The sequence below is a fragment of the Homo sapiens genome, chromosome 3 (assembly GCF_000001405.40).
Source record: "Homo sapiens chromosome 3, GRCh38.p14 Primary Assembly".
Classification (NCBI taxonomy): domain Eukaryota; kingdom Metazoa; phylum Chordata; class Mammalia; order Primates; family Hominidae; genus Homo; species Homo sapiens.
In genome coordinates this window covers 113,422,932-113,435,979 of record NC_000003.12, presented here as the reverse complement: position 1 = coordinate 113,435,979, position 13,048 = coordinate 113,422,932, and the positions used below count along the sequence as shown (strand labels likewise).

General features: G+C 37.8%; 1 protein-coding gene, 2 long non-coding RNA genes and 1 other non-coding gene across 16 annotated transcripts in view, besides 1 other annotated feature; 3 read left to right on the top strand and 1 right to left on the bottom strand.

The window, feature by feature from the left end:
• SPICE1-CFAP44 (SPICE1-CFAP44 readthrough (NMD candidate)) overlaps positions 1 to 13,048 on the top strand; it is a 228,227-nt gene that overhangs the window by 79,177 nt on the left and 136,002 nt on the right. For 6 of the 12 annotated variants that reach the window (NR_183046.1, NR_183045.1, NR_183050.1 and 3 more), the window contains 3 exons: positions 2,311 to 2,415; positions 8,641 to 8,793; positions 9,703 to 9,856. This is a non-coding gene — a long non-coding RNA (SPICE1-CFAP44 readthrough (NMD candidate)). Of the gene's footprint in view, positions 1 to 2,310; positions 2,416 to 8,640; positions 8,794 to 9,702; positions 12,231 to 13,048 lie in introns of those variants that run through there. The other 6 variants (NR_183051.1, NR_183056.1, NR_183052.1 and 3 more) reach the window with 1 other exon arrangement.
• CFAP44 (cilia and flagella associated protein 44) overlaps positions 1 to 13,048 on the top strand; it is a 154,585-nt gene that overhangs the window by 5,535 nt on the left and 136,002 nt on the right. For both annotated transcript variants that reach the window (NM_001164496.2, NM_018338.3), the window contains exons 2-4: positions 2,311 to 2,415; positions 8,641 to 8,793; positions 9,703 to 9,856. In NM_001164496.2, coding sequence (NP_001157968.1) covers positions 2,316 to 2,415; positions 8,641 to 8,793; positions 9,703 to 9,856 — 407 coding nt within the window. In that variant the 5' untranslated portion in view covers positions 2,311 to 2,315. The remainder of the gene's footprint in view (positions 1 to 2,310; positions 2,416 to 8,640; positions 8,794 to 9,702; positions 9,857 to 13,048) is intronic.
• The window catches only part of CFAP44-AS1 (CFAP44 antisense RNA 1), a 29,995-nt gene continuing 18,934 nt past the window's right edge, over positions 1,988 to 13,048 (bottom strand). Inside the window, exons 3-6 of the long non-coding RNA NR_046728.1 lie at positions 8,372 to 8,423; positions 6,919 to 7,087; positions 2,309 to 2,397; positions 1,988 to 2,188 (exon numbers count right to left, since the gene is read on the bottom strand). This is a non-coding gene — a long non-coding RNA (CFAP44 antisense RNA 1). The remainder of the gene's footprint in view (positions 2,189 to 2,308; positions 2,398 to 6,918; positions 7,088 to 8,371; positions 8,424 to 13,048) is intronic.
• On the top strand, positions 3,780 to 3,862 carry MIR8076 (microRNA 8076). Its single transcript, NR_107043.1, has one exon. It is a non-coding gene; the product is annotated as a microRNA 8076 (primary transcript).
• Positions 12,068 to 12,147: an enhancer, noted in NCBI's record as "active region_20251". NCBI's record gives its function as "activates an Ori minimal core promoter by ATAC-STARR-seq in GM12878 lymphoblastoid cells {active_cell/tissue: GM12878}" and the evidence as "EXISTENCE:reporter gene assay evidence [ECO:0000049][PMID:35858748]".

Here is a 13,048-nt window from a genome sequence, read left to right as displayed (position 1 = left end):
GAAGGAAAGAGGAAGGAAGGGAAGGAGAAAAGGAAGAAAGGATGGAGAGAGAGAGGAAGGAAGATTCACAACTAAAAAAGAAAGGAAAGGAAAACACACACACACACACACACACACACACGTACATACACTTTTTAAAAAGTAAAACATTATTTTTGTAACCCAGAAGAATGCCTCCAAAGTACAAAATACAAAATTTAATAACATGAGTATCATGTTAGACCATATCTTTTTTTTTTTTTTTAATTTTAGAAGCAGAGTCTTGGTCTGTCACTCAGGCTGGAGTGCAGTGGTGCTATCCTAGCTCACTGCAGCCTCAAACTCCTGGGCTCAAGTGATCCTCCTGCCTCAGCCTCCTGAGTAGCTGGGACTACAGGCATACCTCACTATGCCTGGCCATTTAAAATTTTTTTTTAGAGACAGTTTGGCTGTGTCCCCACCCAAATCCCATCGTAATTATAGTTCCCATAATCCCCATGTGTCATGGGAGGGACCCAGTGGGAGGTAACTGAATCATGGGGGCAGTTACCTCATCCTGTTCTTGTGATAGTAAGTGAGTTCTCACAAAATCTGATGGTTTTATAAGGGGTTTTCTTCCCCTTCGCTCTGCACTTCTCCTTGCTGTCACCATGTGAAGAAAAGAGGTGTTTGCTTCCCCTTCTGCTATGATTGTAAGTGTCCTGAGGCCTCCCTAGCCATGCCAAACTGTAAGTCAATTAAACCCCTTTCCTTTATAAATTACCCATTCTCAGGTATGCCTTTGTTAGCAGTGTGAGAACAAACTAATACAGACAGGGTCTTACTATGTTTCTCATGTTGGTCTTGAACTCCTGGTCTCAAGCAGTCCTCCTGCCTCAGCCTGTCAAACTGCCAGGATTACAGGCATGAGCCACTGAGCTCGGTCTATATCTTTCTTGATCATAGTTTATAATACAAATGTTTAGACAATGTACTGTTATCCCCCATATCAAAAGAAGGCATCATTATGATGTCACTGCAGGAAAACATGGAATGAACCCTAGTGCCCACTTGAAGGGAGACAGTCATCATACTACACTCTCCTTTGTCCTTTGATCGTGTAGTGTACCATATCTGCTTTAGGCATACCAGTCTATCTTCAGAGACCAGGAAGATATAACAGTGTGGCAGTTTAAGTAACCCTCATAGCAGGCTTGTAAAAAGTTTTTTCTTCATTCCCATTACAGTTGGGGAATTCATATAAAGTTTAGTTAGCTAGTTATATGTCAGTACTGGGATTCAAACCCTAATCTAACTATAAATCTGATCCAAATAGAACTAGTGTTCCATTCTGCTTGCCAGGCATATCGTAGAAGAATGTTGAGGAAACATAGGGTGTTTAGTATAGAGAAGTGAAGACTTAGAAGGAAGGTGTTTTCAAATATATGAAAAGCTGCATTATAGACAGAGGGCAGAGAAAACCTGTTGTGTCGCTCCCCTCTTTAAAACCCTTTAATGGTTTTCAGTTGTCAAGGAAATAAGGTATAAACTTCTTAGCAAAGCTTAGAGACAACTTTATGATATGGTACCCACCTTCTCTTCAATATCCATTTTACTCTCCCACTCTGGCCAATAGACTGCTTGCAGCCCTTTAAAGATGCAGCCCTCTTTGATGTGCCTAATGTATCTTTCACATTCTTTGCCTGGCCAACTCCTGACCATCATCCATGTCTCAAACACCTCTTCTCTAACCCCCCATCATGTTTTAGGCTTCTTGCTATACATGCCCACAGTACCATTTTCCTTTTTGTAGCACTCATTATTTTTAATTGCTTGTTTAATATCTATCTTTATAAACAAGCTCCATAAAGTTAGGGACCATATTTCTCTTCTCCAGGTTTGTAATTTAGTACCCAACATAAGACTTGATACACTGCAGGTGTGCTCAAAAAATATTTTAAAAACTGAAATTGATTAGTAACTCCAAGGGAATTTGAAAATAGAGAAAGAGGGAGGGATGGACCAAAGGTAGGATGGCAGAAAGTTAATTTTAATGGTGAAGCATCTGGGGAAAAGATGAACTTTGGTAGTGGACCTCTGGAAAACCAAAGTGCACCACAATGACAATTTACCTAGAGAAAGAGAATCTGTGATTATAATTAGCTGTCTTGCAGAGGTCAGAGGTCTCTGGTGGTAGTTGCACCCTCCTACTGGTGGGTCATCCTGGATCCTGTGCAAACAAGGATTATTGACACACATGGTGTTTGGTGCTAATGAAATATGTTAGGGGGAAATCTGTTAGTTTCAATTTTACAGCTTTATCCATATCTCATCCCCATTTTGTACTTACAGAGGAAATGAAGGAACCAGATGATCAGGATACTGATGGGGAGAAATCAGTTACATCAAAGAGTGATGGGAAGAAGTCTCTGAGGTCTTCTAAATCAGAATCAAGATGTAAGTAAAGATAATATGTATACTTTTAAAAGTATTAAACTTAGGTAAACATTTAAATAATTAATTTTTATAGTAGAATGGAAAGAGCAGGATGTTATAAAATAGATCTTTTTTTTTTTTTTTTTTTTTTTTTTTGAGATGGAGTTTTGCTCTTGTTGCCCAGGCTATAGTGCAATGGTACGATCTTGGCTTACTATAACCTCCGTCTTCTGGGTTCAAGTGATTCTCCTGCCTCAGCCTCCTGAGTAGCTGGGATTACAGGTGCCTGCTACCACACCCAGCCAATTTTTGTATTTTTAGTAGAGATGGGGTTTCATCATATTGGTCAGGCTGGTCTCGAACTCCTGACCTCAGGTGATCCACCTGCCTCTGCCTCCCAAAGTGCTGGGATTACAGGCATGAGCCACCATGCTGGGCCAAAATAGATCTTATACTCCCTGTTCCCAGAAAGCTGTAGGAAGGTGGGCTCCATAAAAATGATGGAGTTAGCAAAGAAAAAGGACTACATATGGTCCAGGAAATAGGAGATTCAAAATAGAAATAAGGTAAAGGTAATGCCTAGGATGACACTTGGGCAGCCATGCAGAGAACAATTATACTGAAGCAAGGAAAGGAGAATTTTCACCTCCAAGAAAGTTAAAAATGTTAAATAATAGATTATCTGATAGATGCATGTAGAAAATTGAACTGAGTGGAATTTATAGAACTATGACAAGATGTGGGAATATTTATCAGGAGATTCCAGAAAGTTAAAAAGTGAAAATAAATGAGGTATTAGTTTTAGAAAAGCGAGTTGTTCAAGAAGGAAATAAAATAATACATTCTTAACTCAGGAATGAGTGTTATTAAGGCAGTATACTAAAAATAGTAAGCATGGACTTCACTATAGTTTTTTTGTGCTTTGATTATATTGCAAGGGCGGAGAGATAGCAAGTGGTGATAGAGATTTAACATTCTTCATCTTCCCATAATAAACACTGTCTAAAAGTAGCTAGAGAGAGCAGTATATCCATATTGTTTAGATATATGGAGGTAAATATCAGAAGAAAAAAGATTAAAAGCTAAAAGTGATTCTTCTGGAGAGATAGAGAAGGCTGTTAAGCAGGGAAAAGTTGAGTATTTTAAAAGACAAGTCTTTTAGCATTACTTGACTTTTTAAGTTATGGGCATGTACTTCAACAAAACTAAAAATAATTTTCTAAAAGTCAAAAAAATGGGCAAAATAATTTTTAAATAGTGCATATCTGGGTTTATAGAACAGAAATGGTTTACTTGTTCAACTCCCTTACAAAGCTCTAAGTTCCTTAAGAGCTGTCTGTGTTTTACTTATTTATCACAGCTCCTGGCACACAAGTTGATAATAACCTATCCACACGTCTGGTCTAGAGTTCTCCTGTGAGAGCTACTAAGTCTTATATGGACTTTTCTGATACAATGTAGTGGAAAGAGACCTGGACTTTGGTTTTGAGTCCTGGATCTACCATTTAGAGATGCTTGATCTTGGAAACATTACCACATCTTTCTGAGCCTCAATTTTCTCACCCATTAAAACAATTATGAGTCATTTGGGAATTAAATTGCATAACATGTGGAAGGACTTCATAGGCTGCAATGGAAGAAAAAAGGAGGAATTTTATAACTAGGATTTTTGAAAGATGGCTGGCTCTTTCTGACTGACTATCACGATGTTAGGTATCTTAGTGGAATCTTGACTATTTAAGGTTCTAATCCTAAATATGATTTGAGAAATTTAATTTTGACTGTTCACCTAGAGAAGATCAGGTCCTGGGAAAATCAATACACATGCAAAATTTGCATTAAATTCTTTTAATCTATCGCAGACATGTCTTGTAAATCCACAGTTTCTCCACATTATATTTTATTTTAGGCATTTGTCTTCTCTGGTTTAGACTCTTGCAACATGGATTTCTACCTCAGTCTTCCTGTCCAGATCTCCCTCCACACCACCACTAGAGTTCTTTCCAAAAAGTATCATTATATCGCTTACTTCAGAAACTTTAGTTTGTTCCCCCCTAGTTTTTCCTTTTTCATGTTTCTGTACTCCCTACATTTCTGACACAGGATTGTCTGTGTGTTGGTTTCCAGTCCTCGGCAGTGTTTTCCTGGATGCTACTCTCAACTTTCCCTTGATGGATTTAATGATAATGACCCTTTGTCTAGCATTGCCTTCAGGACCTGCCTTCCTTATGTCAGATGCTGTTAGGCGCAGACCTTTTCAAGTGTGACCTGGCCCAGTGCTCAGCTCATTAATTAGTTCACATATCATATGTCTTAGACTCCCAAATGATAATGTGAAATAATTTTCTGGCATTCTGAACATCCTGTACCTTGTTGCTGCGTGAAGAGGTCTCTTCCTCCTGGCTCAGCCTCATACCTGATCATAGCTGCATTCCCCCCACCCCTGAAAACCTTGCTTTGCTCTCAGGCTTGTTAGCACATCCAGCAAGTTTTTACTCTGGGATTCTCATGTAGAATGAATAAAAGTCCTTGTATTCCACCCAAGCAGAGAAGTTGGAGTAGACTTTTTCCCATACTTAACAAGAGGTTTCTGCTATCTCTGAGTTCTATTAAGAAATTTAGGTCGAGTGTACCAGCTAAACCATCCATCATTTCTCACGATGGTGAAGGACTGTTAGTTACTAAGGCATTGATTTCTTATGCTTATCAAAGGACTAAATTATTGCAGACCTTATTTAATAATTTTGGGAGGTATTTTGTTCTTTTCTATTTTCAAAAATATTTTGTGTAGAATTGGTATTATTTCTTCCTTAAATGCTTGGTAGAATTTACCAGTAAAGCTGTCTGGGCCTGGAATTTTCTTGATGAGTGGGAAAATTTTAACCATGAATTCAGTTTTTTAAATAGAGGGCTCTCTATTTCTTCTTTACTAAGTTTTGCAAGTTCGTATCTTTCATGCAATTTGCCCACTTCTCTTCTCAATTGTCAAATTTGTTGACATAACTTTGTAGGATCTGTTTTCATTCTTGATGTTGCAGATTTATGTTGTTTCTCTTTTATTTCTTCATTGGTGTAGCTAGGAGCTTATCAATGTTGTTGATCTTTTCAAAGACTGATTTTGGCTTTGCTAATTTACTTTGTTTTTTTTTTTTTTTTCATTTATTTTTCCAGCTTCTTGAGGTGGAACTTTAGGTCATTGATTTTTTTTGACTTTTGTTCTTTTCTTACATATGTATTGAAAGCTATAAATTTCCTTCCAAGGACTGCTTTAGCTATATCTCAATTTTAATATGTTGTATTTTAATAAATTTTAATTTGAAAACTTTTCTAATTTCTTTGTTGATTTCCCTTTGACCCATGCATTATTTTTATTGTGTAATTTAATTTCCAAATATTGGACTTTTTTTCAAGGTATCTTATCATTATTGGTTTCTAACTTACCTCTGTTGTTTTCAGAGAACATATCTATTCTATATGATTTCAATCCATTTAAATGTATTAAAACTGGTCTTATGTCCCAGCAAGTGATCTGTCTTGGTAAATGACCCATGTATGCTTGAATGTGTATCCTGTATTGATAGGTGTAAGTGTTTTATAAATGTCAGGTCAGGATGGTTGATAGTGATGTTCAGATCATCTATGTCTTTACTAAGTTTTTGACTAGTTGTTCTATCAATTGCTGAAAGATACGTGTTACTATAATAAATGGTAACTCTTAAGTAGACTGTAGAAAGTTGTTATATATTGTAATCTCTGAAGCAACCACTAATAAAACACAGAATTGCTAAAAAGCCAACAGAAATTTAAATAGAATTCTAAAGAGTAAATAATCTAAAAGAAAACATGGAAAGAGAAAAAGAGGGAAAAAGGACAGGTAGGAGGAGAAAAACAGAAAATAACTTATCAAATATTATTTGTTAATTTCACAAGCATATGTTATTAAAATCTAACCATATCAATAATTACATTAATTATTAGTTAACTGAACATTAATATAAAAAGGCAGAGATTATCAGCATGGCTAATAAAAACAAGAACCAACTATATGATGCTCATAGAAAACACGTGTTAAGCATAATGATACAAATAGGTTGAAAGTAAATGGATAGAAAAAGATACATCATGCAAACAGTAAGCATAACACGGCTGGAGTGGCTATATTAATACCAGATAAAATAGACTTCAAGGCAAAGAGTACTACCAGTGACATAAGGGTAAAAGGATCAATTTATTCATAAAGATAAAAGGATCAATTAAGAAAACATAATAATCATAAATGTGTATTCACCTAGTAACAGCATCATAATACACAAAGCAAAAATAGAATTAAAGAAAAACTAAGTAATTCCACAATCATAGTAAGAAAGCAGCTTAGTACTAGTTACTTCATAATAGCCAAAGTATACATGCCTACCATTAATATTTGTATATTGTTGTTGTATGCAGTAACCATGCTGAACTCTTTTTAAAATTATAATAAATTATAATTTAGTTCTTATAAATTTTTTATAAAGTAGCTCTTACGGATTTTTCTGTATGTGCAACCATAGCATTTGTAGGCTTTCTTATAGTGTTCTCAATCTCATGGAAAAGGTAGAGGTAAATAAGGATCACAGAGGCAAACTGTTTGCGGGAAGCAGTATCTCTCAGATAGCTGGAGAGGAGAGGTCCCAAAGCTTCCTACATCCATTGGCTGGAGGAAACAAACAAAAAAAATGGAAGAAACTTGTATATAAAATTGTGGGTCATACACCAAAAATCCCAGCAGGTTATTTTTGATATCTACAGTTATGGCATTCCTTTCTCCTTGGTCACCTTCCTTTGCTTCCTCCTGCACCCATCCTTGTTCAGTCTCCACTAATTTTGCCAGCCCTTTTGCCAGCAGCCCTGCCATCCATTTGTGATTTCAGGTTTTAACTGCTTCTAGTTATACAAAAAAATGGAGTTTGTGTTTTTGGTATTTATTCTCAATGTTGATTTTAGATTATTTCCAAGAATAGAAAGGCAAATACTGATTTATTCTTCAAACCATAAGTCTTCCATCTGTCTATTTTAGGATTATAAAAACTAGAGAAATATCCAGCCTTCACAAAGTTGCCTAAGTGTGTTGATTTGCCAGCTTGATTTAATGTGCCTACTTCCTGCCAAATTAGTTTTCTTCCCCTAACTCTAGTTTTCCGTCTGTAGCACAACCCTTCTCCAGGCTCAGAATACCCATTATTTTTTATTACGTCTTCTCCTTCATCTGTATTCACTCGCAATTCATTAATCTGTGATCACCTTATCTACCAGTTCTAACTCCTTTCCTGGGGAACCCAGCAGTTAGGAGTGTTACACTTGTAGTGCCCTAATCTTGAAATGAGGAAATAGTCTTTGGTTGCTACAGTCACAAGAAAGAGCTAAGGTATTATTAGAGAGTAGTTCTCCAGGGCCCCCTCTTGGGGAATCTGTTTGGCCTATTTAGGCACCCAGGATTACTTTCTTGCCATCCAAATACACGCATCCTAAGGAACTCTGCCCTGTTCCGCAACTAATTGGCTTGGCCCAGCTTTTCTATCTTACTCATATTAGTCTTGGGCTTTGTTCCTAATCTTTTAGCCTCATCTCAGATCTACTATGTAGCTCTGGTACCTAGTAGTACATTTGCCATTTCTTCCTTATTCTTCTGAAAGTTCACCTAGCTCTATATGAAAGTATACCCATCCTGCTTGGCATTGTATATTTTAACCATCCTCATGTTTGCACTTGATCTGAATGTTGGCTTATACCTGGGGCCATTTTACTCCTATACCAGTTCTCATTCCCAGCTTGTCCTAAAGCCAATATTCCAACTTATTCCTGGGATATCACTTCCAAGAGAAATCAGCATACTCAGAGAAAGAAAGACAATAAGGCTTGTTTGTCTTTAACGTAACAGGTTCCCTATAAAAGTTAGTAAAATTGAATTTAGTTGAAATTATGATAGCAGCATACTAACCTCTTTCTTTTTATCTTTTACTTCTTGTAAGTATTTAATGATAGGAAATAGACTGAAAATGAAGTGAAAATGGAGATTAACAAACAGAAAAGGCTTTCTTATTTTGTAAAGTTACAAGACTGACCAAATAAAATGATTCTTCTAGAAATTTTTGAGTATGTATTAGATTTATTACATCTATAGCACAAGGAAATTGGAAGTTTTAGCTACTTTAGAAATAAGAAAATGTTTAATCAAAATTTAGAAGTTATTAAAACAAATTTTAATAGCTCCTGTTCAAGAAGATAACACATTTTTAGAAGATGACACAGATGAAACATTTACCAAAGGGGAAGGATCATATTTAGAAGAAGACTCAGATGAGGAACGTTTGGAAGGAAGTTTGAGTTCATTTCAGTATGGTGATTTGCAAAGCACTACAGGTAGGTATTATTAGTTTTCTGTCAGTAATTGTCACTGTTTTAGAGACAAAGCCCAGACAAATGGAAGAGTTATAAATCCATAGAAAGAAAAATGTGCAGGATGTACATATGTGTGGGAATGATAAAAGGACAAGTACATATTTTGGTAGGGTACTTTAGCAGCCCTAGACTTGTGGTTTTTATTTCTGAGGATCACATAGAGTACTCTGATACTCATTCTTCTGGGTTTTAAGAAGGTATAAAAACTGCTCCACTACAGATTAGTGGGAGTTCAACTTTCCTTTGGAAGTAATTGGGAGTTCCCCTTGGAGACTGTTGCGCCATGACCGACCAGAACTCAGCATTTACTCCTGATGCACGTGGGCATAATGGCTCTTCCTTCCATGCTCACCGATGACTGCTTCCTATCTTCCAGCCAGTAGTAGTACTTACTGCTAGAGTATTGCAGGCTGTGTACATTCCTCCTGTCTCTGGGAAATACAATTTTGGATTCACCAGACACTCTTTGTATTAGTCCGTTCTCATGCTGCTAATAAACACATACCTGAGACTGGGTAATTTATAAAGGAAAGAGGTTTACTTGACTCACAGTTCTGCATGGCTGGGGAGGCCTCAGGAAACTTACAATTATGGCAGAAAGGGAAGCAAACATGTCCTTCTTCACATAATGGCAGGAAGGAGAAGTGCAGAGCGAAGGAGGGAAATGTCCCTTATACAACATCAGATCTTGTGAGAACTCATACACCATCATGAGAACAGCATGGAGGTAACAGCCCCTGTGATTCAATTACCTCCTACCAGGTCTCTCCCATGACATGTGGAGATTATGGGAACTACAATTCAAGTTGAGATTTGGGTGGGGACACAGCCAAACCATATCACTCTTCTTAAATTATTTTATTTTTTTAGTACCTCAGCAAACCCCTGCTCCAGCTGTGGAAGAAGCAGAGGAGGAAGTTAAGAAGAAAATATCAGAGAGCTTCTTCTATGATTATATGGAGCTTGCTTCGATGCCTTTTGTGACTCTGGATTCAAACATACCACTGGATCTTCTCACACTTGTGTATCCACCCTGGCTAAATATGTATAATTTTGGGATTTTCATTTCTTAGGTCAGAGGTCAGCAAACTATAGCCCAGGGAGCCCAAATGTGCCTTCCCACCTGTTTTGGTAAATCAAGTTTTATTGCAACACAGCCACATCCATTTGCTTACATTTTGTTTATTATGGCTGCCATCACACAACAAGGACAGGGATAAGTAGTTGTGACAGAGACCATCTGGCTCACAAGGCAAAAACTATTTACTACCTTCCCTTTATAAAAAAATGTGTGCCAACCCATATTAGGTAATTCTAAGAAGCTTGAATTCTTAGAGATTTGATAGAAATGCATGATCTTAATTTAAACTAAGCTTTTGTTTGATGCCAAATAACCATACAGAGAAATATTTTTTCTGGCTGTCCTTTGCACAAGTGGAAAGGCTGCAGTTCATGAGATCTGAGTGAAGGAAATCAGAAGGCTTCTTCTTCCCATTTACTTTTGTCAGTGCCTGTCAAGTTACATAATCAATTTCCCTTCTTGAAACACTTATGTGTCTGTCCATTGTAAGGCATTAGTACTTTCACATTATATATCAGATGAGCTATCAGAGAAGACAATTCTTAGGAAACAGGGCACAAAATATAAAGTTTTAATTGGTTTGGAGAATAAGAGTCTTTTAAGATATGTAGAAACAGGATGATTGACAAGGGGATTTTGTGTTCGTCATCACATTATGATGTTAGGTTTGCAATGCGGGTAGTTAGAAAACAGTTTTCATTGAGGTCCTTAGCTGGCAATGTACTGTGCTTCCCTTTTGGATAGTTAGTACTTATCACCACGTGGCCTAAACCACCAACTGGCCTCTTACATAAGGAATACTTACAGAGATAGGGTGGTGTACTCCCTGACTCAGTTTTGCTTTTTACATAAAAACATAAAAATAGAACATGTTGTTAAATCCCAGGTGTAACTAAATTAATTCGTGCTGATTTATCTTGTAACCTGGAATTTTCTCTCTTCATGGCTTTTTTTTTCCTTATCTTTGGACAAGTTTCTGACAAAAGTTATGCTGTTTGCTTTCTTTTAGCCTTTTTTTCCCAAATGGGATGGGGTGGTATATTAGAGTCCCCTGGAAGTTTTTCCTAAAGTACACAATGCTCTGATGCCTTCCGGGACCTACTGTGCTAGTTCTTTGTGGAGAGGGACTTGGGAATATGTACTCTGAAGAAACTCCGAGTTGGTTTGGCAGTGCACTGCCTTCTCACTGCTCCAGGATGGGAGGGTCTGTATTAGACAAATATGCCTAAATTCTAAACATCAGAGTCAGAAGAACCTTAACTTTTATTCCAATATATGAATTATCTCTATTCGTGCTGGATGGGTGGCTGTATAAACTATAGCCTTTTCTTAAACATTTTCAACACCAGGAAAATCACAAAGTAGCTTACCCCACTTTTGGACGGCTCACTAGAGAGCTTTTTGGGCCTTGAATAAAATTCTGCCTTGCTGGGATGGCCCCCATTAGATTTAGTTCTCCTCTCTGCAGATGGACATATATAATCTCTATATCTTGTGAGGAATTCTAGGAAGAACAAGTCAGCCATCAGGTATTCCCTAAGTACTCTTTTAATTAACCCTTTAATGATTATTAGTATATTATATTGATTCTACTTCAGTTTTTGCTTTTTTGTTTTGTTCTGTTTTGTTTTGAGATGGAGTCTTGCTCTGTCGTCCAGGCTGGAGTGCAATGGCACGATCTCTGCTTACTGCAACCTCCGCCTGCCGGGTTCAAGCAATTCTCCTGCCTCAGCCTCCCGAGTAGCTGGGACTATAGGCATGCACCACCACATCCAGCTAATTTTTGTATTTTTAGTAGAGATTGGGTTTCACCATAATGGCCAGGCTGGTCTCGAACTCCTGACCTCGTGATCTGCCCGCCTTGGCCTCCCAAAATGCTGGGATTACAGGTGTGAGCCACCGCGCCTAGCCCTCTACTTCAGTTTTTAAATTTATGTCTTCTAAATTTTAGCAATGTTAAATCAAGTTTAGCCTAAAGCTGCCTCCTTACATACTTTAAGTTCAGCCTCCAGGTTTCTCTGTACATGGTGAACTATAACCTAAAGGGAGTTAGACTCTAGCCTACTCTTGAGCCAGTTACTGAGTTGTGGTCAAAGGTGGCCAACTGTTCAAACTGTGTTAAAATAAGGCAGATGCCAAGCTGTAACCAATTCGGCTATTTCTGTACCTCACTTTCGTTTTCTGTATGTCACTTTCCTTTTTCAGTCCATAAATCTTCCTGCACGTGGCTGTGCTGGAGTCTCTGGGCCTACTCTGGCTCAGAAGGCTGCCGAATTCTTGAATGGTTCTTTGCTCAATTAAACTCTGTTAAATTTAATTTGGCTAAAGTTTTCTTTTAATAGCAAGAAATGTGCCATTTATAAAGTATTACTTAAACCATGGTATAATTTTAAAAGAGATTATACAGAACTTAACAGTGTTTAAACAATTTTAAAGTGAAGTTTCTAGATGGCCATGAAAAAACATTGAAAGCTTTAGGTCTTTGACAGGAATTTAAGAAGAGGCAAGCCAGAAGAGAGGGTGAGATAAGACAAAGGGAGCTGAAGGTACATCAGAACACATTTTAAGATTTTCAGAACTCTACTAAGGGTCTGCCACTGTCTTCTGGGATTAAAAGGAAAGGATCAGGCCAGGCGCAGCAGCTCAGGCCTGTACTCCTAGCACCTTGGGAGGCTTGGCAGGCAGATCACTTGAGCTCAGGAGGCAGCCAGATCACTTGAGCTCAGGAGTGCGAGACCAGCCTGGGCAACATGGCAAAATGCTGTCTTTACAAGAAATACAAAAATTAGCCAGGTGTGGTGGTGCACACCTGTAGTCTCAGCTACCTGGGGGGCTGAGGTGGGAGAATCTCTTGAGCCTGGGAAGTTGAGCCTGCAGGGAGCCATGTTCATGCCACTGCACTCCAGGCTGGGTGACAAAGTGAGACCCCATCTCACAAAAAAAAAAAAAAAAAAAAAAAAAGGAAGGATCAGATTCCAGTTATGCACAAATTAATGAATTCATTAGTTCAACAAACATTTCCTGAATAGCCAATAGGCTGAAGACAGTGTGTTAGGCATTCTGGGAAATAGAGATGGAGAGAAGCAGTCTTTGCCCTCAGTAAGTTGTAATTTAGAGGGGGAGAATTTGAGAAGT